At 43.4% G+C, this 23,008-nt stretch overlaps 1 protein-coding gene across 2 annotated transcripts in view, besides 2 other annotated features; it reads right to left on the bottom strand.

Annotated features, from left to right (window-relative positions):
* The window catches only part of PARVA (parvin alpha), a 158,921-nt gene extending 150,156 nt beyond the window's left edge, over positions 1-8,765 (bottom strand). The window contains exon 1 of one of the 2 annotated variants that reach the window (XM_005253015.4): positions 8,467-8,765. In XM_005253015.4, the coding sequence (XP_005253072.1) occupies positions 8,467-8,470 (4 nt within the window). In that variant the 5' untranslated portion in view covers positions 8,471-8,765. Of the gene's footprint in view, positions 1-7,417; positions 7,631-8,466 lie in introns of those variants that run through there. The other variant, NM_018222.5, reaches the window with a different exon arrangement.
* Positions 18,423-18,995: an enhancer, noted in NCBI's record as "NANOG-H3K27ac-H3K4me1 hESC enhancer chr11:12387753-12388325 (GRCh37/hg19 assembly coordinates)". NCBI's record gives its function as "activates a minimal SCP1, AML or CMV promoter by ChIP-STARR-seq in naive H9 embryonic stem cells {active_cell/tissue: H9 hESC(naive)}" and the evidence as "EXISTENCE:reporter gene assay evidence [ECO:0000049][PMID:30033119]".
* Positions 18,665-18,959: an enhancer, noted in NCBI's record as "tiled region #4146; K562 Activating DNase matched - State 4:PromP, and HepG2 Activating non-DNase unmatched - State 4:PromP". NCBI's record gives its function as "activates a minimal TATA promoter and a strong SV40 promoter by Sharpr-MPRA in K562 cells, with weaker activation in HepG2 cells {active_cell/tissue: HepG2 | K562}" and the evidence as "EXISTENCE:reporter gene assay evidence [ECO:0000049][PMID:27701403]".

Raw genomic sequence — 23,008 nt, 5'->3', positions numbered from 1 at the left:
TGCACCACCACCCATGGCTAATTTTTTTGTAGAGATGGGGTTTCGCCATGTTGCCCAGGCTGGTCTTGAACTCCTGAGCTCAAGCAAACCACCCACTTCGCCTCCCAAAGTGCTGGGATTACAGGCGTGAGCCACCATGCCCAGCCTCATTCTAGAAACCTTTTGCCTCATCTCCCTGCTTCATCTCTGCCTGCTTCAGTCACTTAACACCATCTGAGTGATGGTGTTTTAGCACCATCAGTTAAAACAGAAGTGAGATCACGCCATTCCTCTGCACAAAGTCTTCCCGAGCCTTCCCATCTAACTCTGAGTAAAGGCCCAAGTTTTACAATGGCTTCCAGGGCCCTACAAAACCTGCCTCTGCCCTTCCTCTTGTTACACCCGGGACCAACCCCCGTTCCACAATCATGCTCACTCTCTTCTCCAGTCACATCAACCTCCTTCTTGGTCCTCAATAATGTACCAGGTCCACACCTGCCCCAAGGTCTTTGCATCTGTCATTCCTTCCACCTGTAATGTTATTTTCCAAGATATACATATGGTTCTCTTCCTCACTTCCTTCAGATTGGGACTCAAATCTACCCTTCTTAGTGAGGCCTTCTCTAGCCATCCTACTTAATACTGACAACCATCCTCAGACCACAACCCTCTATTTCTCTTTTTCTTGCTTTATTCTGCTCTCTAGCACTTACTACCACTCAAACAAAATACAAACATTACCAATTTATCTTGTTTATTACCTGTCTCCCCTGTTAGAATGTAAGCTCCAGGAAGGCAAGAGTTTTTGTTTTGTTTTCCTTTCTAGAACCTAGTACAGTGCATGGTACGTGTTAGGCACTCAATAAATAGTTGCTGAAAGAATGGAAATAATGGATCAGAAAGTGACTGGGAGATAAGAAAAGACAAGCAGGTAGAGATAACTCTTTCAAGGCATCTGGTGAGTAGCTAAAGAGGAAACCAGTATCAGGAGACTTTCTCCAAATAGGAAAGACTCAAGCATATTTACAGAACGTCAGGGCGACAGAGTGGCAAAAAAAGATGGGATATGAGAAATAGCATATCTGGCTATGCCAAGTCTGGGAGGAAGCTGAAAGAAATGGCCTTATGAGCAAGGAGAGAAGGGACCTCCTTGGAAGGGACTAGGGCAGGTGGGGAGCACAAAGACAGTTGCACATATGGGTGGGACTGGCCAGATATGGTAGAAAGGGAACTTGAAGGAGCTCATAGCTGGTCTCAATTTTCTATCTGAAAATCCAGGGAAGGGTTTTAGGGGCTATGGACAACAACATGGGTGCCATTGTTCAAGGCGTGCCCCTTGAACAATGCAGGTTTGAATTTCAAGAGTCCACTTATATGCAAATTTTTAAAATAAATGTATTAGAAACTTTTTTGAGAATTGCAACAATTTGAAAAAATTGCAGATGAATTTTGTGATCTAGAAATATCAAAAAAAATTAAGAAAAAGTTAGATATGCCCAGGAGTTTGAGACCGACCAGGGCAACATAGCAAGACTGTGTCTCTACAGAAAAAGATGTACTTTGGAAAAATGAGAATGCACCGGCTGATTAGAAGAAAAGGGTAGCTCTGCAGTGCTAAGGGTTCTACTCACTCTAGAAACCATAAATTTGTTGCAAGGTTTGTGGATTTTTCTCCAGCAACACTGGGCAGCCAATGAGAATCAAGTGGTAAGAACTAGTATTATTAGAAGAATTATGAAATTAAAGCCTTCATTGGATACCTCAGGTCCTGATCAAAATGTAAAACTCTGGGGGATAAAAACTTAAATGAATGGGTAAACGACAGGAATGACCAGTGCTGCTGGCCTAATTCGGGTGCCTTCAGCAGAGAGGTACAATTCAAGTTAGTGTTGCTTGAAAGAGCACGTCTTGAGGACAGTTTCAGAGAAAGAAAGTTGAAAAGTGGCCCTCTGGCAAGTAGACTCTGAAAGGGCAGTGAAAGAATCCACACAGGAGGGCCATGTCCAACAGAAATGGAATTGAAAACCCAAAAGAAGAAGAAAAAGATCAACAGAGAAAAACAAAAGCCACTTAAGCTACAACTCATAAGAAGGGGCCCAGATAAAGTGCTGAAATGTGTCATCTTGGGAAAAGGGAGGATCTCACTTGCAAAGAAAGATCCCTTAACTCCTAAAGGGACAAAATAGTGTCCCACAGGCATATAGTCATGGGCTACTAGGCTATTTACAGAACCTGAAAAAGCCAGTGCAGTCCATAATAAAAAGACTATTTCAAATTTCAAAGACCAATGAAAATTGAGTTGTCAATTTTAATAGCTACCATTACTTGTGCCATGCAATGCATTTTACATTCTCGATCTCATTTAAACCTCACAACTTCCATGTAAAGAAGGAATTCTTATTCTCATTTTATAGATGAAGACACAGAGGCTTACAGGGGTTAAGTAACTTGTCTTAAGTCATAGAATGAATAAGGGGTTGAACCAGAAATCCAATTGAAATGTGTCTAATCCTAAAGACCATGCTTTTAACCCTTGTTCTCTCTTGGACTCTAACACTGTTTTTTCTTATGAAAACACAGGAGTGATGACTAGTTGAGTGCATTCTTATGAGACTCATAGTCATTCTATGATGTAGTTTTCCTTAGGAGGACATTTTTTACATGAAATTATTAACCTAAATAGAGTTGATCCTTGAACAACACAGGTTTGAACTGCGAGGGTCCACTTATATGCAAATTTTTTCAATAACTATATGGGAAAATATTTTTGGAGATCTGTGACAATTAGAAAAACCTTGAGATGAACCATGTAGCCTAGAAATATTAAAAAAAAAAAAAAAGAAAAAGTTACTCATGTCACAAATGCATAAAATATACATCAATACTTGTCTGCCTTCTCATTTACTACCATAAAATATAAACAAATCTATTACAAACAGTTAGAACTTATCGAAATGTCAAAATGTACACATACACACAAGAACTGTGCGTGATGCCATCTGCAGATGAGAGAAATGTAAACGTAAAGATTAAATCCTCACTGCACGAAATGAACTGTAGTACATACTGTACCACTGTAATAATTTCACAGCTACCTCCTGTTGCTATTGTGGTGAGCTCAAGCGCTGCAAGTATCTGCTTAAAACACCTTGTGACGCTAATCATCTCCACGTGAACAGTTCATCTCTCCAGTAAATTGTGTACCGCAGTTAAAAGTGATCTCTTGAGGTTCTCGCATATTTTTCATGCTTAGTGAAATACCATAAACCTTGACTAACACCATGGGACTCTAACAAAGTGCCACTAGAGATGCTGGAAGTACTCCCAAGTATCAGAGAAAAGTCATGACATTATAAGAAAAGTTGAATTGCTTGATGTGTACCATAGGTTGAGGTGTGCAGCTGTGGTTACCTACCATTTCAGTCAGACAATGTAAACTTACAGTATCAGTAATGCAGCACAGTTTTGCAAACGTATTTTCTCTTCCTTATGATTTTCTTTATAACATTTTCTTTTCTCCAGTTTGTTTATTGTTAAGTATACAGTATACAATACAAAATATGTGTTGATTGACCATTATCAGTAAGGCTTCTGGTCAACGGTAGGCTATTAGCAGTTAAGTTTGTGGGGAGTTAAAAACTATACACAGATTTTTGACTGTACAGGGGGTCAATGTCCATAACCCCCACATAGTTCAAGGGTCAACTATATTCTAACAAGTATTATATCTTTCCATTTGTTGTGTCCTACAGTGGGACATAGCAGGTACCAAATGAATGAATGGGAGTCCTTGGGCCTCGGAGAATGCTACACCAAAGCACTGAGATAATCTGTGGACAGACTGATGGCAGTGATCTTGAGGAATGAAGAATGAGAGGTTCAAGAACACCAAAGAGAAAGTTGAAGAAGGCAGATTCTACAGAGCACAAAGCTGTGAGCTTATCCAGGATGCAGAGCAAGATCCGGCCTTATTATTACTGAAGTGATGGTTAATGGGGCCCCACACCTACTAACCATCACTTCAGCACTGATCATTGAGATCCAGCACATACTCACTAAGGACAGTCATTTCAAACCAACCCACTGCCTTCTTTGCCTGGGCTTGCAGAAATACCATATGCCGCAGCAAGCAGCTGGAGCTGGGTGGTGGCTGGCCCTTCAGAAGACGTTCTGTGTTCTTCCATTCATCCATTTACAGCCCCTGGATTAGTTGACAGACTGAATGAAGGAATCAGGACTTTACAGTGAAATATAACAGGGATGAAAATAAGATCTTACACTTGGTTTCAAAAACCCAACTGAGTAAATCCAAGATAGGGAAGGCTGTGATTTAGGAGCAACAAATATAAAAATGTCTTTGAGTAAGCTGATAGCAAGCTCAATGAGAGATCACAGTGCGACGTGGCTGGCAGAATAGTTAGAGGCAACCTTAGCTGCATTAAAAGAACATTGTGTCTGTGCTAGAATAAGGGAGATGACAGTCCTAATCTGGGGTGGCTGGCTTGCACTACAACTGTACTATGGTGACTTCTGGAGAGCTCACTTCGAGCGGGTCTGGTAACAGGTTGATCTGCTAGGTATTCTCCATTTCCACCGTCCCCACTGTGATCTATTCTCTGCACTGCTCTGTGCCCTATGGACGCTGCCCCTATCTATTGCAGATCCCTTGCTCTGATGGCTTCCCACTGGGTTCAGCACCAGTAGGTGATGCACGGGCAAGAAGACAGAGAACATGCAGAATGTGCATTTATTGTGCCACTCTCTCCTTGCTCTGTCTGCATATTTCGGACAGTAGCTGCATCCCTCTATGACTATAGTTCCAGTCCAGCAGCCCCTCGTCCATAACCCCAGCTTGTAATAGGTTCCAATTTGCTTCCCTTGTCCCTCAGGCCTCGGAGTGATTAAGAGCTTCCTCCTGTTGCTAGCCCCTAGGGACCTCAGCATCCCTTCTTAGTTCCCTTAACCCTGCCCACAGCTCTGTCAATAGCCCTTTCACTAAATTATTTTCAAAATCTCAACTAAATTGGCCTTCTTTTTCCTGCAGGGACCCTGTCTGAAACTAAAGAGACAGGATGCAAAAGTCCTTAAAATTATGTCTGTGAGGAATAGAGGATGTTGGGCCTGGTGGAGAGAAGACTCTAGAAAGCAGGATAGCCTACTTCAGCAAGGTAGTAATAAAAGGCCACCCCAGACTCATTCTCTGGCTCTACCAACAGTGATAGGTACAGAGAGATAAATTTCTACAGAGTAGGTAAAGATGGTTATCCTGGTAGGTCATGAGCTTCAATATTTCTCAGTTGCCCCATCTTAAACTGGATGAGACTATGTCAGGAATGCTGCAAGGAAGAAGTTAGAAACATGGTCTAGAAAAGAGCTTCCCAAGCCAGGGTTTCATGATTTGCCACCAACTGTACACTACTCGATGGGTTACCAAAATAACCAATGTGGGGAAACTTTTGTATGTTTTTGCTGCTTCTCGTTTCAATCTAGGGAATAGAAGTCTAGTTCTTCATCAAGTCTGATAATCCTCAGCGCTGAAGATGTTTTTATACTTTAAGATGACTTACAAACATGAAAATTTCACACAGCATCACAGCTTTCAAAAGGTTATTTCTAATTCATGGAGCAATCTATTAAAAACATTTTTTAGGGGGGAAGAGAAGTTGATTAATGGTTACAAATATACCATTTGATATAAGAAGACCTAGTGTTAGATTGGTAAACTAACTATATTTTACAATAACCTCTTGTATATTTCAAAATATCTAGAATTCCAGTGGTCTAGCATAGAGAAAAGACAAATCTTTAACGTGATGGATATCCCAAGTACAGTGATTTTGTCCGAGGCATGTGAACCAGAGCAACTCCATCTTGAATGGGGCCAGGTAAAACAAGGCTGAGTGAGACCTACTGGGCTGCATTCCCAGAAGGTTAAGGCATTCTAACTTACAGGATGAGATAGGATGTGGGCACAAGATACAGGTCATAAAGACCTTGCTGATAAAACAGGTCGCAGTAAAGAAGTCGGCTAAAACCCACCAAAACCAAAATGGCGACAAGAGTGACCTCTGGTCGTCCTCACTGATACACTCCCAGCAGCGCCAGGACAGTTTACACATGCCACGGCAACGTCCGGAAGTTACCCTATATGGTCTAAAAAGAGGAGACATGAATAATCCACCCCTTGTTTAGCATACCATCAAGAAATAACCATAAAAATGGGCAACCAGCAGCCCCAGGCTGCTCTGTCTATGGAGTGGCCATTCTTTTATTCCTCTACTTTCTTAATAAACTTGCTTTCACTTTACTGTGTGGACTCACCCTGAATTCTTTCTTGCGTGAGATCCAAGAACCCTCTCTTGGGGTCTGGACTGGGACCCCTTTCCTGTGCAATTTGATCTTTACAAATTATATGAATGTATTACATTATCACATGTGCCCCAGAACTATGTACATCATGCATCAACTAAAAAATGTTTAAAACAAAAATGTTTAACTCAGCAACTTCTATCTACACACCAGTCACCACAGTGCTTCTTGAGAACTGCCACCTCGTTTTCAAACCAAAAACCAGGACGCAAAATCTGTGCATGGGAAAAAAAAATATTTTACATGCAAACTACCCTGAAAAAAAAAAAAAAAAAAAAGAATAAGGTCGCCTCAATTCACTCTGGTGGGGAAAAAACAAAGGTTTTTACGAAAGCCCTGAATGCCTGAGTTCACAGCAGGCCCATGACGAAGTTTGTGTCTCACGCAGGTTTTCTCCTTTGGTGGGAGTTTATTGTGTATTACACCGAGGGCACGCTAGGTTTGCCAGTTTTTCGCTCATTCATTCAACAAACACTCGATGTCCACCTACTCCATTAACAGAGCCCTTCTCAGCCCTCGGGATGGACAAAAGATCCCGAAGAGGCCAAAGCCACGACGCCGCTGCCAGAGGACGTCAGCAGGTCCAGGAAACGACCTGATTTTAAGGACCAATGAAGGCAACGAGTAAGAGCGACGGCGCCCAGGAAAGCTGCAGCGGAAACTTGGGAAATGCCAGCCTTCGGGCGCAGAGGGCGGGGCAGGGCCTACTGGATCGCACTGTCTGCGGGCTGGGGCCCCGCCTGGGCTCCGGTCCCGCCGCCTCCGGCCGCCAAGCGGCGCCCGCCCACGGCCCGGCGGGGGCGTTGGCCTGGTCCCCGGCCCAGGAGGGCAGCGCCCGGGCGACCGCGAGCGGGCGGGGTGGCCTCGATGGCCCGCGAGCCCCGGGCTCAGTGTGGGGTGCGCGTCGCTCCTGCCCGACGTACCCGGGAAGCGCGCGCACGCATCGCCGCGCGCCCCACCGCGCCGGGCACCCGCGGCGCGCTCCCGCCCGGTCCCAGTGCCCCGGCCCCTCGGCCCCTACGGCACCCCCGGCTCCTACCGCCCGCCCGGCCGGCCTGGCCGCACTCACCCTCCTTGGCTTTCTTCCTCCGGGCCAGGGTCCCTCCGAGTTTCCCCAAGAAGGAATCATCTTTCTTGCGGGACGGGGGCGACTTGGGAGTGGGAGACTTGGGGACAGAAGGCGACTTCTGCGGGGAGGTGGCCATGGCGCGGCGCAGGCTGCCGCGGGCCGGTCGGGACGCGGAGCTGGCGCTGGGCGGACGCAGCGGGCGGCGGCGGGACTGAGGCTGCGGCTTTCCAAACGGAAGCGGAATTATTCCAAGCATTTGAGGCAGCTCACGCTCGCCTTTCCCTTCCCTCGCTCCCTCCCTCGCTCCCTCCCTCGCGCCGCCCTCTGCCCTGGAAGGAGCTGCGCTCCCGGGGCCGCGCCTTGCGCCCCTGGGTTGCCCCAAGCAGGGAGGATGCCCCAAAACTGCCCCTTGCAGGACAGGAGGACGTGTGTGCCCAGGTTGGGAGCGGTCGAGCCGGAAAGCTTCATTTACCCAGGCTCTGTCCCCACCACACAGCCTGGCGCAAAACACATCTGAGAACCAACCCAACCCTGCTACTCTCCCGGGGTCTTCCAGCCGGCGGCTGGTGAGCTCGCTCTGCCCCAGCACTACTGCCTGTGGGGTTATCAGGCCCACGTCTTGCGCCCACAAGACTGCAGCTCCTGGAAGAAATTATTGCAGTGAACCAAAATGTGTCCAGGCCCCACCAAAGTGGGCAGAACCAATCACTCCTGAACCTATCCATGACCGTCAACCTCCTCGTCTCTACTCCCATCCAAGACTGAGAAGCTTGGAGTGCACAAGGGTAAAGCCGAGGCTTCTTATTCTTGTAAGACATCCGTGTTTCCAGCAGCTTATACAAAGGAAGATCCCACGTGGTGGTGGAAACATGAATGGGAAAAGCACAACCATGAGCTCCTACAGGACTTCCCGCAAAATTTATCCTGCCTAAATAAAAGCAAGAGAGTGACAACCAGACTCATTTGAGATAACAGGGGAGTCATACAAAGCACAGTGTTTGAAGGACTCATACTGGAAATGATTAAAAGGCACGTGTTATTGAGCTTACCCATCTCAAGTTCTCACTCTGGCTCTTTGTCCTTCTGTCTGTCTCTCACACACAGACTCACAGCACCTTGGCAACTGTGTTTCCTCCTTGTGGCCCCTTCTAGGCCACAGCTGATTGAACCTGGGTGAACACCTAATCCAAAGGGCGCTACTGCTTTACTGAAGAGCAGACGATCAGCTGGCCCCAGTTAAGACTGCACTAAGCTGGAGAGACTGTTGTCAGAAGTTGTGCTCGTGACTGATGATCATTCGCAATCAAAACTAGGGTGGCTGTTTCTAGCCACGTGCATGCTGAGGAGTAGGGAAACCAAAGAATGGAGCAAAGAAGTGTGCTCAAGAAGCCACGTGGTCTGAGTAATGGAAACCGTGGGGAGTAGCTGCTTGGACCTTGAATCTTTTCCCAGACCCCACTTGCACTTCCTGCCAGGGCCAGCTGTGCTTCTTCCCAGGAGATGTTACTCAGCCTTTTATTAACCCATCCACAGTTCCTTAAACTAAATAAAGTGACAAGCAACAGTTTCTGAGTAGAACTAAAATTTAACAAAAAGATAGTCAACAGATTCTCAACACCGTATAGGTTCATTTTATCTTAAGAGTCTTAATTTTACCTTTTTTAAAAAAAAAAAAAATCTGCTTTAGTTGGTGCCTCTTACTTAACAGCAGAAAAGTCATGATGTCTGCTAGCCTGGGAAGATTACTACAACTCCTCCTAGACAATAAATCTTAAAGGGATGGTGAGAAGCCAAAATATAAGTGTGTTTTGATTACATCATTAATCATTTTTGTTCAGGATATCAGATATAGGACATCTCCAAAAGCGTATCTCCAGCCCCGAGAGCTCTTGTCAGGGAATTAAGAGACACGTAGCTCAATAGCGGTGTGATCTTGGAAAGGTTTACTCCCTTTTCTGAGTCTCCATTTCCTCATCTACAAAATGAAATGGTTGGCACAGAACAGTGGTTTTCAAACTCGATCGTGCATCACAGTCGCTTAGAAGTTTGTTGCATTCACAGGCCCCATCTCCAGAAATTCTGATTCAGTCGATCTCAGGTGAAACCAAGGGATAGGTGTTTTTTAAACAGACTACATCAGGTGATTTCGATGTATTAATAGCTGATTCACACCCTGATGTCTTGCCATTTAGGGCTACTTTCAGCTCTTAACAGTCTGTGGTTCTTTATTCTTTCAAAAATTGCTAATATCTGTATGCAAGGCTTAGTCCTAAATGTGCCATAATCAAAATTACCCATGGAGATTCCTTCAGTTGCCCATGCATGCTTTTGCATATATAATACTCCTCAGTAATTGTTATGTTCGTTAAACTTGGAAAACCACTGAGCAAGGCTAAAAGGAGGAGTAAAGTCTTGATTGTTGAATGCTAGCTCCCAGAAAATATCAGCAAAATAAGCTGTGGAAGAAGGCAAAGCTGAATTTTTTGTACACCATGATAAGGAGAGCCCTGCCTTGGCAGAGTCTCAGTAGCATCTTGGAGTAGGGGAAGGGATATTTATAAGGTTTTGGAATCTTGATGAAGACAGGCCTTCCAGTGGGATGGTGCTTGATTAAGTTTGACTAAGGATCATGATATAATAGATAAGGACTGGTAGACCCTAGGCAAAGCTTTCCAAGAGTCTTGGAGAGTAAATAGTCTTTTTAATGCTATCTATTGAAAAGTCTAATGGGTTTATGTTCATTTCAATGAGATTTGGTGGGGAGTTCTTGAAAAGAACAAGAAAGTTATTCATAGCTTTTTATCTTCCTGGGCAAGAAATTTTTGGAAGACAGGGGAACGATAAAGTCCTGTTAATGTATGCAGTAACCTGCATTGGTGGGAATGGTTGCCAGGGTCTCAATATTATGCTGATACCTTGTTATTCAAGCATTTCTACTGGTAAGATCATTATCAATCTTTCTGGAAAGGCCAGTGGGAATGGGTGGTGAATTATAAATCAGTGCTACTCACAGTGTAGTCTGCAAACCAGTATTGATCTGGATACCATTATTAGCTGCCAAGACCAGCTTGGTCGGGGAGACCCTAACCCAGCGGCGCTAGAGGAATTAAAGACACACACACAGAAATATAGAGGTGTGAAGTGGGAAATCAGGGGTCTCACAGTCTTCAGAGCTGAAAGCCTCGAAAAGAGATTTACCTACGTATTTATTAACAGCAAGCCAGCCAGTCATTAGCATTGTTTCTATAGATATTAGATTAACTAAAAGTATCCCTTATGGGAAACAAAGGGATAGGCCGAAATAAAGGGATGGGTTGGGCTAGTTATCTGCAGCAGAAGCATGTCCTTAAGGCACAGATCGCTCATGCTATTGTTTGTGGTTTAAGAACGCCTTTAAGTGGTTTTCCACCCTGGGCGGGCCAAGTGTTCCTTGCCCTCATTCCGGTAAACCCACAACCTTCCAGCGTGGGCGTTATGGCCATCATGAACATGTCACAGTGCTGCAGAGATTTTGTTTATGGCCAGTTCTGGGGCCAGTTTATGGCCAGATTTTGGGGGGCCTGTTCCCAACAATTAGCCAATGACATAAATGTAGAAATTGAGAGTTTTTAGAAACTTTTATAGCAATTTAACAACACTTTATGTCTGTTTAATCTAACAATAATCAGAAGCTTATATTTTGAATATCTTTTCATTCTATTTTTCTAGTAATTTTTTATTTTTATTTACAAAAATATTGCTCTATGATGAATTGGTCCTTTAGCAGATTAAGAAGCACTGTTCTACATTGCTCGTGTTTACTTAGAGAGTTCATCTACTCTCATTTGATATAATGCTTTTAGAATCCTTAAGAATGTGAATTGATCTGGTTTTTGTTTAGAAGAGTAAATGAGATAATCTGTGGGAAAGCACCATCTACAGGGCCTGGCACTGAAGTAGGCTGAATCTAAATCTTACTTAGAGACATGCTGCATGCTATTCTTTGATAGGATGGGAAGACCTTGTACCAGCTCCCTCCACTCTAAATTGGTATTTACAATTATGTCCCCACTGAACAGCACCTCCTCTCATGCTCGGTCATTGTTTTCATCTTACCCAAGGGATTTGATTCTAAGGACAGATCATCAATTAAATGTGTGATACGTAAGACTCTGCTGAATCTCTAGGCTGCCTCTTCTTGAAATTGGGGCCTAGACAAATGCACTGGAAGAGAATAAACTCAGGTTCCAATCTTAGCTTAGCAGCCAGGTGATCTTGGGTAAATCTCTTCCCTTTCTGCATTTATTTTTCCCATCATCTATAAAATGAAGCCAAGGCAGTACCTACTAAAGCCAACCATCATACATACCTTATGATCAACAATTTCAATTATAGGTTATACCCAACAAAAATGAGTACATGTGTACACACAGAGATAGGCTCTAGAAAGTTCACAGCAGCACCATTCAGCTGCCTGTTAACAGTTGAATTGATTGTGATAACCACAGCAATGAGAGTGAACAATTTGCAACTACAAGCAGCAACAGGAATGGATCTTACAATATAATGTTGAGCGAAGGAAATCAGACACAAAAGAGCACATACTGTATAATTGTATTCAAGTAAAGTTCACAAACAGGCAAAACTACTCTATAATGTTAGAAGTCAGGATATTGATTAGCCTTGGAAGGTGTAGTGACTAGAATGGAGTGGGTGGCATGAGGAAAACCACTGAAGCTGCTAATGTTCTGTTTCCTGATCTGGATACTGGTTACGTGGATATATTCACTTTTAAAAATCAATGAGACATACACATAGTACTTTCAGCAGATTTTCTGTATGTATTTTATACTTCAATAAAAATCTACAGCTGGGCATGGTGGCTCATGCCTGTAATCCCAGCACTTTGGGAGGCTGAGCCGGGTGGATTGCTTGAGTTTGGAATTCAAGGCCAGCCTGGACAACATGGCAAAAACCTAGCCTGGACAACATGGCAAAAACCTGTCTCTACAAAAAATACAAAAATTAGCCAGGTATGATGGCATGTGCCTGTAGTCCCGGCTATTCAGGAGGCTGAGGTGTAAGGATGGCTTGAGCCAAGGAGGCAAAGGCTGCAGTGAGCCGAGATTGTGCCATTGCACTCCAGTCTGGGCAACAGAGCCAGACCCTGTCTCAAAAAAATATTATGAATTTATCGCAAACATGATTAATTTTTAAAAATGAAGCCATGGGACTATATGCCCTGCAGGGTTTCTTTTATGTCTAGTCTCCTCCAAATCCCTGGGTGGCCCATGTCACTCAAAACTTCACAGTTCCTAAATGAGGCCAGTTCTGTCCCCAGCCTTTTCTTAGGCAATTACATTTCTAGATAAACTTGTGGCTACTCTCAGCCACCCAGCAGCTTTCCTATCCGGGTCCTGTCATCTTCCTTCAAGAATGCCAACAGGCAGGCTGTGTGTTGTACAAGAAAGGGTCATGTAGTGGTGAAGCATATGGGTTCAAATCACCATTCTGCAGCCAAAGCTGTATAATCCTGTGCAAGTTACTTAACCTTGCTGTTGCCTCACTTTTATCATAAAATGAGTAATTCCTCATGAGGTTGTTGAGAGGACCAAGAGAGTGAGAATAAATAAGCAACTCAGCTCAGTGCCTAGCAGATGATAAGACCTTAGTTTAATAAATACTGGCTATTAGTATCTCTCTTTTTTTTTCTTTTTTTTATTATACTTTAAGTTCTAGAGTACATGTGCACAATGTGCAGGTTTGTTACACAGGTATATATGTGCCACGTTGGTTTGCTGCACCCATCAACTCATCATTTACATTAGGTATTTCTCCTAATCCTATCCCTCCCCTAGCCCCCCACCCCCCAAAAGGCCCCAGTGTGTGATGCTCCTCGCCCTGTGTCCATGTGTCTCATTGTTCAACTCCCACTTATGAGTGAGAACATGCAGTGTTTGGTTTTCTGTCCTTGTGATAGTTTCCTTAGAATGATGGTTTCCAGCTTCATCGATGTCCCTTTGAAGGACAGGAACTCATCCTTTTTTATGGCTGCATAGTATTCCATGGTGTATATGTGCATTTTCTTAATCCAGTCTATCATTGATGGGCATTTGGGTTGGTTCCAAGTCTTGGCTATTGTGAATAGTGCCGCAATAAACATACGTGTGCATGTGTCTTTATAGTAGCATGATTTATAACCCTTTGGGTATATACCCAGTAATGGGATAGCTGGGTCAAATGATATTTCTAGCTCTAGATCCTTAGGGAATCACCACACTGTCCTCCACAGTGGTTGAACTAATTTATACTCCCACCAACAGTGTAAAAGCATTCCTATTTCTCTACATCCTCTCCAGCATCTGTTGATTCCTGACTTTTTAATGATGGCCATTCTAACTGGCGTGATATGGTATCTCATTGTGGTTTTGATTTGCATTTCTCTGATGACCAGTGATGATGAGCATTTTTTCATATGTTTGTTGGCTGCATAAATGTCTTCTTTTGAGAAGTGTCTGTTCATATCCTTTGCCCACTTTTTGATGGGATTGTTTTTTTCTTGTAAATTTGTTTAAGTTCTTTGTACATTCTGTATATCAGCCCTTTGTCAGATGGGTAGATTGCAAAGGTTCTCTCCCATTCTGTAGGTTGCCTGTTCACCCTGATGATAGTTTATTTTGCTGTGCAGAAGCTCTTTAGTTTAATTAGATCCTGTATGTCTATTTTGGCTTTTGTTGCCATTGCTTTTGGTGTTTTAGTCATGAAGTCTTTGCCCATGCCTATGTCCTGAATGGTACTGCCTAGGTTTTATTCTAGGGTTTTTATGCTGTTAGGTCTTACATTTAAGTCTTTAATCCATCTTGAGTTAATTTTTGTATAAGGTATAAGGAAGGGATCCAGTTTCAGCTTTCTACATATGGCTAGTGGGTTATCCCAGCACCATTTATTAAATAGGGAATCCTTTCCCCATTGTTTGGTTTTGTCAGGTTTGTCAAAGATCAGATGGTTGCAGATGTGTGGTGTTATTTCTAAGGCCTCTTTTCTGTTCCATTGGTCTATATATCTGTTTTGGTATCAGTACCATGTTGTTTTGGTTACTGTAGCCTTGTAGTATAGTTTGAAGTCAAGTGGTGTGATGCCTCCAGCTTTGTTCTTTTTGCTTAGGATTGTCTTGGCTATGCAGGCTCTTTTTTGGTCCCATATGAACTTTAAAGTAGTTTTTTCCAATTCTGTGAAGAAAGTCAGTGGTAGCTTGATGGGGATAGCATTGAATCTATAAATTACTTTGGGCAGTGTGGGCATTTTCACAATATTGATTCTTCCTATCCATGAGCATGGAAAATGTTTTTCCATTTGCTTGTGTTCTCTTTTATTTCATTGAGCAGTGGTTTGTAGTTCTCCTTGAAGAGATCCTTCACATCCCTTGTAAGTTGAATTCCTAGGTATTTTATTCTCTTTGTAGTAATTGTGAATGGGAGTTCACTCATGATTTGGATCTCTGTTTGTCTATTATTGGTGTATAGGAATGCTTGTGATTTTTGCACATTGATTTTGTATCCTGAGACTTTGCTAAAGTTGCTTATCACCTTAAGGAGATTTGGGGCTGAGACGATGGGGTTTTCTAAATATACAATTATGTCATCTGCAAACAGAGACAATTTGACTTCCTCTTTTCCTAATTGAACACCCTTTATTTCTTTTTCTTGCCTGATTGCCCTGACCAGAACTTCCAACACTATGTTGAATAGGAGTGGTGAGAGAGGGCATCCTTGTCTTGTGCCAGTTTTCAAAGGGAATGCTTCCAGTTTTTGCCATCGAGTATGATATTGGCTGTGGGTTTGTCATAAGTAGCTCTTATTTTTTTGAGATATGTTCCATTAATACCTAGTTTATTGAGAGATTTTAGCATGAAAGGCTGTTGAATTTTGTCAAAGGCCTTTTCTGCATCTATTGAGATAATCATGTGGTTTTTGTCATTGGTTCTGTTTATGTGATGGATTATGTTTATTGATTTGCATATGTTGAACCAGCCTTGCATCCCAGGGATGAAGCTGACTTGATCATGGTGGATAAGCTTTTTGATGTGCTGCTGGATTCTGTTTGCCAGCATTTTACTGAGGATTATCACATCGATGTTTATCAGGGATATTGGCCTAAAATTCTCTTTTTTTGTTGTGTCTCTACCGGGCTAGCCTCATAAAATGAGTTAGAGAGGATTCCCTCTTTTTCTATTGATTGAAATAGTTTCAGAAGGAATGGCACCAGCTCCTCTTTGTACCTCTGACAGAATTCGGCTGTGAATCCGTCTGGTCCTGGACTTTTTTTCGTTGGTAGGCTATTAATTATTGCCTCAATTTCAGAACCGGTTATTGGTGTATTCAGAGATTCAACTTCTTCCTGGTTTAGTCTTGGGAGGTTGTATGTGTCCAGGAATTTATCCATTTTTTCTAGATTTTCTAGTTTATTTGCATAGAGGTGTTTATAGTATTCTCTGATGGTAGTTTGTATTTCTGTGGGATTGGTGGTGACATCCCCTTTATCAGTTTTTATTGTGTCTATTTGATTCTTCTCTCTTTTCTTCTTTATTAGTCTTGCTAGTGGTCTATTTTGTTGATCTTTTCAAAAAACCAGCTCCAGGATTCATTGATTTTTTGAAAGTTTTTTTGTGTCTCTATCTCCTTTAGTTCTGCTCTGATCTTAGTTATTTCTTGCCTTCTGCTAGCTTTTGAATTTGTTTGCTCTTGCTTCTCTAGTTCTTTTAATTGTGTTGTTAGGGTGTCAATTTTAGATCTTTCCTGCTTTCTTTGTGGGCACTTAGTGGTATAAATTTCCCTCTACAGACTGCTTTAAATGTGTCCCAGAGATTCTGGTATGTTGTATCTTTGTTCTCGTTGGTTTCAAAGAACATCTTTATTTCTGCCTTCATTTTGTTATTTACGCAGTAGTCATTCAGGAGCAGGTTGCTCAGTTTCCACGTAGTTGTGCAGTTTTGAGTGAATTTCTTAATCCAGAGTTCTAATTTGATTGTGCTGTGGTCTGAGAGACAGTTTGTTGTGATTTCTGTTCTTTTACATTTGCTGAGGAGTGTTTTACTACCAATTATGTGGTCAATTTTAGAATAAGTGTGATGTGGTGCTGAGAAGACTGTATATTCTGTTGACTTGGGGTGGAGAGCTCTGTAGATGTCTATTAGGTCTGCTTGGTCCAGAGCTGAGTTCAAGTCCTGTATATCCTTGTTAACCTTCTGTCTCGTTGATCTCTCTAATATTGACAGTGGGGTGTTAAAGTCTCCCATTGTGATTCCGTGGGAGTCTACGTCTATTTGTAGGTCTCTAAGGACTTGCTTTATGAATCTGGGTGCTCCTGTATTGGGCGCATATATATTTAGGATAGTTAGCTCTTCTTGGTGAATTGATCCCTTTACCATTATGTAATGGCCTTCTTTGTCTCTTTTGATCTTTGTTGGTTTAAAGTCTGTTTTATCAGAGACTAGGATTGCAACCCCTGCTTTTTGTTTTGTTTTGTTTTGTTTTTTTGCTTTCCATTTGCTTGGTAGATCTTCCTCCATCCCTTTATTTTGAGTCTATGTGAGTCTTTGCACACGAGATGGGTCTCCTGAATACAGCACATTGATGGGTCTTGACTCTTTATCCAATTTGCCAGTCTGTCTTTTAATTGAGGCAGTTAGCCCACTTACATGTAAGATTAATATTGTTATATTTGAATTTGATCTTGTAATTATGATGTTAGCTGGTTATTTTGCCCATTAATTGATGCAGTTTCTTTGTAGTGTCAATGGTCTTTACCATTTGGGATGTTTTTGCAGTGGCTGGTACCGATTGTTTCTTTGCATGTTTAGTGCTTCCTTCAGGAGCTCTTATAAGGCAGGCTTGGTGGTGACAAAAATCTCTCAGCATTTGCTTGTCTGTAAAGGGTTTTATTTCTCCTTCACTTATGAAGCTTAGTTTGGCTGGATATGAGATTCTGGGTTGAAAATTCTTTTCTTTAAGAATGTTGAATATTGGCCCCTACTCTCTTCTGGCTTGTAGTGTTCCTGCCGAGAGATCTGCTGTTAGTCTGATTGGCCTCCCTTTGTGGGTAACCTGACCTTTCTCTCTGGCTGCCCTTAACATTTTTTCCTTCAATTCAACCTTGGTGAATCTGACAATTATGTGTCTTGGGGTTGCTCTTCTCGAGGAGTATCTTTGTGGTATTCTCTGCATTTCCTGAATTTGAATGTTGGCCTGCCTTGCTAGGTTAGGGAAGTTCTCCTGGATAATATCCTGAAGAATGTTTTCTAACTTGGTTCCATTCTCCCCATCACTTTCTGGTACACCAATCAAACGTATATTTGGTCTATTCAAATATTCCCATATTTCTTGGAGGCTTTGTTTGTTTCTTTTCACTCTTTTCTCTCTAATCTTGTCTTTTTGCTTTATTTCATTAATTTGATCTTCAATCACCGATATCCTTTCTTCCACTTAATCGAATTGGCTATCGAAGCTTGTGCAGGCATCATGAAGTTCTTGTGCCATGGTTTTCAGCTCCATCAGGTCATTTAAGGTCTTCTCTACACTGTTTACTCTAGTTAGTCATTTGTCTAACCTTTTTTCAAGGTTTTTAGCTTCCTTGCGATGGTTTGGAATATGCTCCTTTAGCTCGGAGAAGTTTGTTATTACCGACCTTCTGAGGCCTACTTCTGTCAACTCATCAAACTCATTCTCTGTCCAGTTTTGTTCTGCTGCTGGCGAGGAGCTGTGATCATTTGGAGGAGAAGAGGCACTCTGTTTTTTGGAATTCTCAGCTTTTCTGCTCTGGCTTCTCCCCATCTTTGTGGTTTTTGATCTTTGATGTTGGTGACCTACAGATGGGGTTTTGGTGTGGATGTCCTTTTTGTTGATATTGATGCTATTCCTTTCTGTTTGTTAGTTTTCTAACAGTCAGACCCCTCAGCTGCAGGTCTGTTGGAGTTTGCTGGAGGTCCACTCCAGATGCTGTTCGCCTGGGTATCACCAGCGGAAGCTGCAGAACAGCAAGTATTGCTACCTGATCCTTCCTCTGGAAGCTTCATCCCAGAGGGGCACCCGCCTGATTGAGGTGTCTGTTGGCCCCTACTGGGAGATGTTTCCCAGTCAGGCTACACGGGGGTCAGGAACCCACTTGAGGAGGCAGTCTGTCCGTTCTCGAAACTCGAACACCATGCTGAGAGAACCACTGCCCTCTTCAGAACTGTCAGACTGGGATGTTTAAGTCTGCAGAAGCTGTCTGCTGCCTTTTGTTCTATTATGCCCTGCCCCAGAGGTGGAATCTACAGAGGCAGTAGGCCTTGCTGAGCCGCAGTGGGCTCCACCCAATTCGTGCTTCCTGGCCTCTTTGTTTACACTGTGAGCTACTCAAGCCTCAGCAGTGGCAGTCGCCCCTCCCCCCGCCAATCTGCAGCATCGCAGGTCGATCTCAGACTGCTGTGCTAGCAGTGAGCAAGGCTCCGTGGGCGTGGGACCCACTAAGCCAGGCATGGGAGGGTATCTCCTGGTCTGCCAGTTGCTAAGACTGTGGAGAAAGCGCAGTATTTGGTCAGGAGTGTACAGTTTCTCCAGGTACAGTCTGCCATGGCTTCCCTTGGCTAGGAAAGGGAAGTCCCCTGACCCCTTGCACTTCCTGGGTGAGGCGATGCCCTGCCCTGCTTCAGCTCGCCCTCCATGGGCTGCATCCACTGTCCAACCAGTCCCAATGAGAGGAACCAGATACCTCAGTTTGAAATGCAAGAATCACCTGTCTTCTGTATCGATCTCGCTAGGAGCTGCAAACCGGAGCTGTTCTTATTTGGCCATCTTAAAAGCGCCCTTTTTTCTTTTTTTTTTTTTAGACTGAGTCTCACTCTGTTGCCCAGGCTGGAGTGCAGTGGCATGATCTTGGCTCACTGCAAACTCTGCCTCCTGGGTTCAAGCAATTCTCCTGCTTCAGCCTCCTGAGTAGCTGGGATTACAGGCGCATGCCACCAAGTCTGGCTAATTTTTGTATTTTTAGTAGAGACAGGGTTTCACCATGTTGGTCAGGCTGGTCTCAAACTCCTGACTTCGTTATCTGCCTGCCTTGGCCTCCCAAAATGCTGGGATTACCAGCATGAGCCACTGGGCCCGGCCAAGCTATTAGTATGTCATTTGAGACTCATACATGATATTATCATCACCACCATTTTATGGACAAGTAATTCAAAACCCAGAATTTAAATTATGGGCTAGAGATCACATGTAGCCAATAATTGAGAGACTAATATTAGCAAACCGAATCCAGCAGCACATCAAAAAGCTTATCCACCATGAGAAAAATTATTAATAGTTGATCCAAACAAGAGGAAATACTGAAGTGAATGGCAGAAGGAAAATCATCCCAAGTGAGGGTAAGTATATGGGTAAGCATAAAAGCCTATTCGCTATACACAACAACATAAATAATACAGGATTTAAAAACTAAATCAAAATAAAATACACAAAAGCAGAAGCATTCAAATCGGGAAGTGAATAAATGGAGTTAAGTGTTTTAAGATCCAGGCATTGTCTGGGAAGAAGTAAAAGTAGCAAGTTCTATTGGACTCTGATAAATCAAGGATCATGTTGTAATCTCTAGGGTAACCATTAAAGGAATAATAAAATAGTAACTATAAGTACCAAGATAATGGAACGAAAATTGGAGTCTAGGTGCTCCATTCAGATTTCATAAATTACATGTGATCTGTATCTGTCATATAGAAGGAAGCTTTTCTTTTGTATTCTGTTATCTATTTATTTTACTGGGTTGCTTTTTATTGAATAGCTTAAAAACCCAGGATAGAGGTAAACCAATCATATCAAAGCAAATTAAGGCAAAATTCAAGCCCAAAGTGGCTTTCACTAGGAAAAGATATTCTTCCTAAATGTGAAGGCCATCTGTTATGGGTTGAATTTTGTCCCCTAAAAAAGATACGTTGAAGGTGTAACACCCAGTACTTCAGAATGGGATCCTGGAAGTAGGGTCATTGCCAATGTAATTAGTTGCTAAAAATTGTATTTAGGTCATACTGGAATATGGTGGGCACCTAATCCAATGAGACTTGTATCTTTATGGGAAGAAGAAAATTTGGACACAGATATGCACAGAGGGAATGTGATGCAAAGATACAGGAAGAAGATGGCCATTGGAGTGATGCAGCCACATGCCAAGGGATGCCTGGGACTTCCAGAAGGTGGAGGAGGCGACAAAGAATCCTCCCCTAGAGTCTCAGAGGGAACATGGCTCAGCAGACACCTTAACTTTGGATTTCTAGCCTCCAGGACTGGGAGATAATAAATTTCTGCTGTTTTAAACCTGCTGTACTTTGTAACAGCAGCCCTAGGAGACTCTCACTCTTCCAGATCACACTGACCTCGGAAAGCATTGGGGAGAGGAAAATCAAGAACTTGGTGTCATCTCAGTGGCCTGGGACATGAACCACATACCATCTAAGGGACAAAATGGCATCCCCTGCAGATCAAGATGAGGGTTTTACAAAAGCTCTGGATCCCAACCAATAGTCAGAGTTATTTGACTGCAGCAAAGCAGGAGGGGGAAGAGAGAAGCCAGCCAGAGCCTCTTGAGGATCTCTTTGATCACTGCAAGCAAGATGTGCTCTTAGGATGAAAGGAATGCGTGAGAAATGAAATGTCTGTGGAGTGGGGGTCTTAAGGGACAAGCCTCATTGCATGTCCCCCTTGGGAACTCTGGAATATTAGTGGTGGCCTTTGAAGGTCAGCCTGCCGGTGAGCATGTCCTCCAGGAATTCTACCTGTCTGGGTGAAGGCTGTCCAGGTGGCAGGGATGGAGTGGGAGAATAGGAATTCTCTTGGTGGGCAGGGAAGTCACAGGACAGGAGGAAGTTGGACAACCTCAGCCTTAGTTGGTAACATGGTAGACTGAGGGCAGGGCTGTTTTTGAGGACCACACAGGATGATGCCACTCAAATCGCCTCTGATTCAGCCATGGGGGAATGAGTCCAAAGTTCTTTGAGACAGATGACCTGCTCACCTACCCTTCAGGGGTAATAATGAACTACAGACAGTGGTGGAGAGATTTTCTCACCTCAGCATGATAGCTGAGGGCCAGCTGCAGAAGTGAAGCCCTAAAATCAGTAGTTCCTCCTTGGGTAATCAAACAGAGGAATGAATAACACACAGGTAAACAAGAGCACAGCAATGCTTTTAAGGGCAGAAAGCAGCAGGTGTGAGCCAATGCAGACTCAGCCAGGCAAGGGGGAATACCTGGGGCCCCAGTGATTGTACTGGTGTGTGGTCCATGTCCCAGGCCACTGAGATTATACCCATGGTCTTGATTTTCCTCTCCCCAATTCTTTCCTAGGTCAGTGTGATCTGGAGGAGTGAGAGACCCCGCTTCCATCTTTCTTGGGGGGAGATATTATAGCTATTCATACGTTGGATGTTTCCTCTTAGGGAGGAAGGTTAGAAGTATTATGTCTAACAATGAAATGGAACCAAATCACCAAGGCCAGATGTTGTCTGCTGGAAACACTAAAGGGTATACTTGAAGGAGTATTGGCCAAAGAGCTGTGCAAGGGGCTGGACATCTGGTCAGCAGAGGGCAGTCCAAAGAGATGGTCCCCAAAGAGATTCCACGAGCACTCTAGTGAGTCAGATGAAATCAGAGAGGTGACAGAGTTCTGGGGAGTGAGTTTCCTGGCCTAGTTCACCTGGTAGGTGAGAAGAGCTGAGTTCACAGTAGCTGTTACCATTATCAGGGTCAGAGGGGCTGGGGGAAGGGTGCTGTGATGTTTGGTTTTGCTTTCTTTTATTTCTAAGTGAACTGGGAGAGGGAGTGAGCATGAAATTAGAAAGTGTGCCCTGAAGGCTCAGAGACGGTGAGTTGCAGCAATGGCTGAGAGTCTGCAGCTCTGTGAGTATGAGGATGTCAGCTGAGCCCCAAGGAAAAACTTGCAAAGTGCCATCAGAGGTGGCTGTTGCTTGGAGCTCTTCACTCCCCACATTAGTGCTGGTAAAACAGGAGCTCTCATCTGCAGTTATGTATATTTGTTGTTGATGCTCAATGGAAAAATAAATCCTTTCAAATATTTGATCAGCAGACAAAAGCTTTCAAACAAATGGGGCACCTTCGTGTGGAATGATGGGAGCTCCTGGGACTCATGGGTTGATTACTGTGATGTGGCAATTCTGGTGTACCCTGCACTCATAGTTTAAGAATATGCATGTGCTGGGGTTAAGAAAAGAGGTAATAAGAACAAACTAAAAGAATGTGACTTGAAGGAAGAGGCTAGATCTGCGCAGAAGGAAACGTTCCTGTTGAGCGAATTAAATACAAAACCAGGTGAGAGAAAGGTGAGAGAAAGGGAGGGGCTGGGACTACCATAAGCCTCATCCCTCCCCTTCCCCAGCCTTGAAAACAGCTTTCTTTGTTGAAGGAATACACCTGAGGTGAGCCTTCTTCGCTTCTCCTCCCATTCAAATCCAATTTGCTGGTCAGGTAAGTCCTTCTAGATGCCCCATGGTAATAAAATCTCCCAGGTTAATTAACAGACTCCCACACAAAATCAAAGCCTTGCCCAGGCTCTTTCACTGAGAACAAATA

This window comes from Homo sapiens, chromosome 11 (assembly GCF_000001405.40).
Source record: "Homo sapiens chromosome 11, GRCh38.p14 Primary Assembly".
Taxonomy (NCBI): domain Eukaryota; kingdom Metazoa; phylum Chordata; class Mammalia; order Primates; family Hominidae; genus Homo; species Homo sapiens.
Note: the sequence above shows the minus strand (reverse complement) of the source record. Positions and strands in the feature narration are given on the sequence as shown.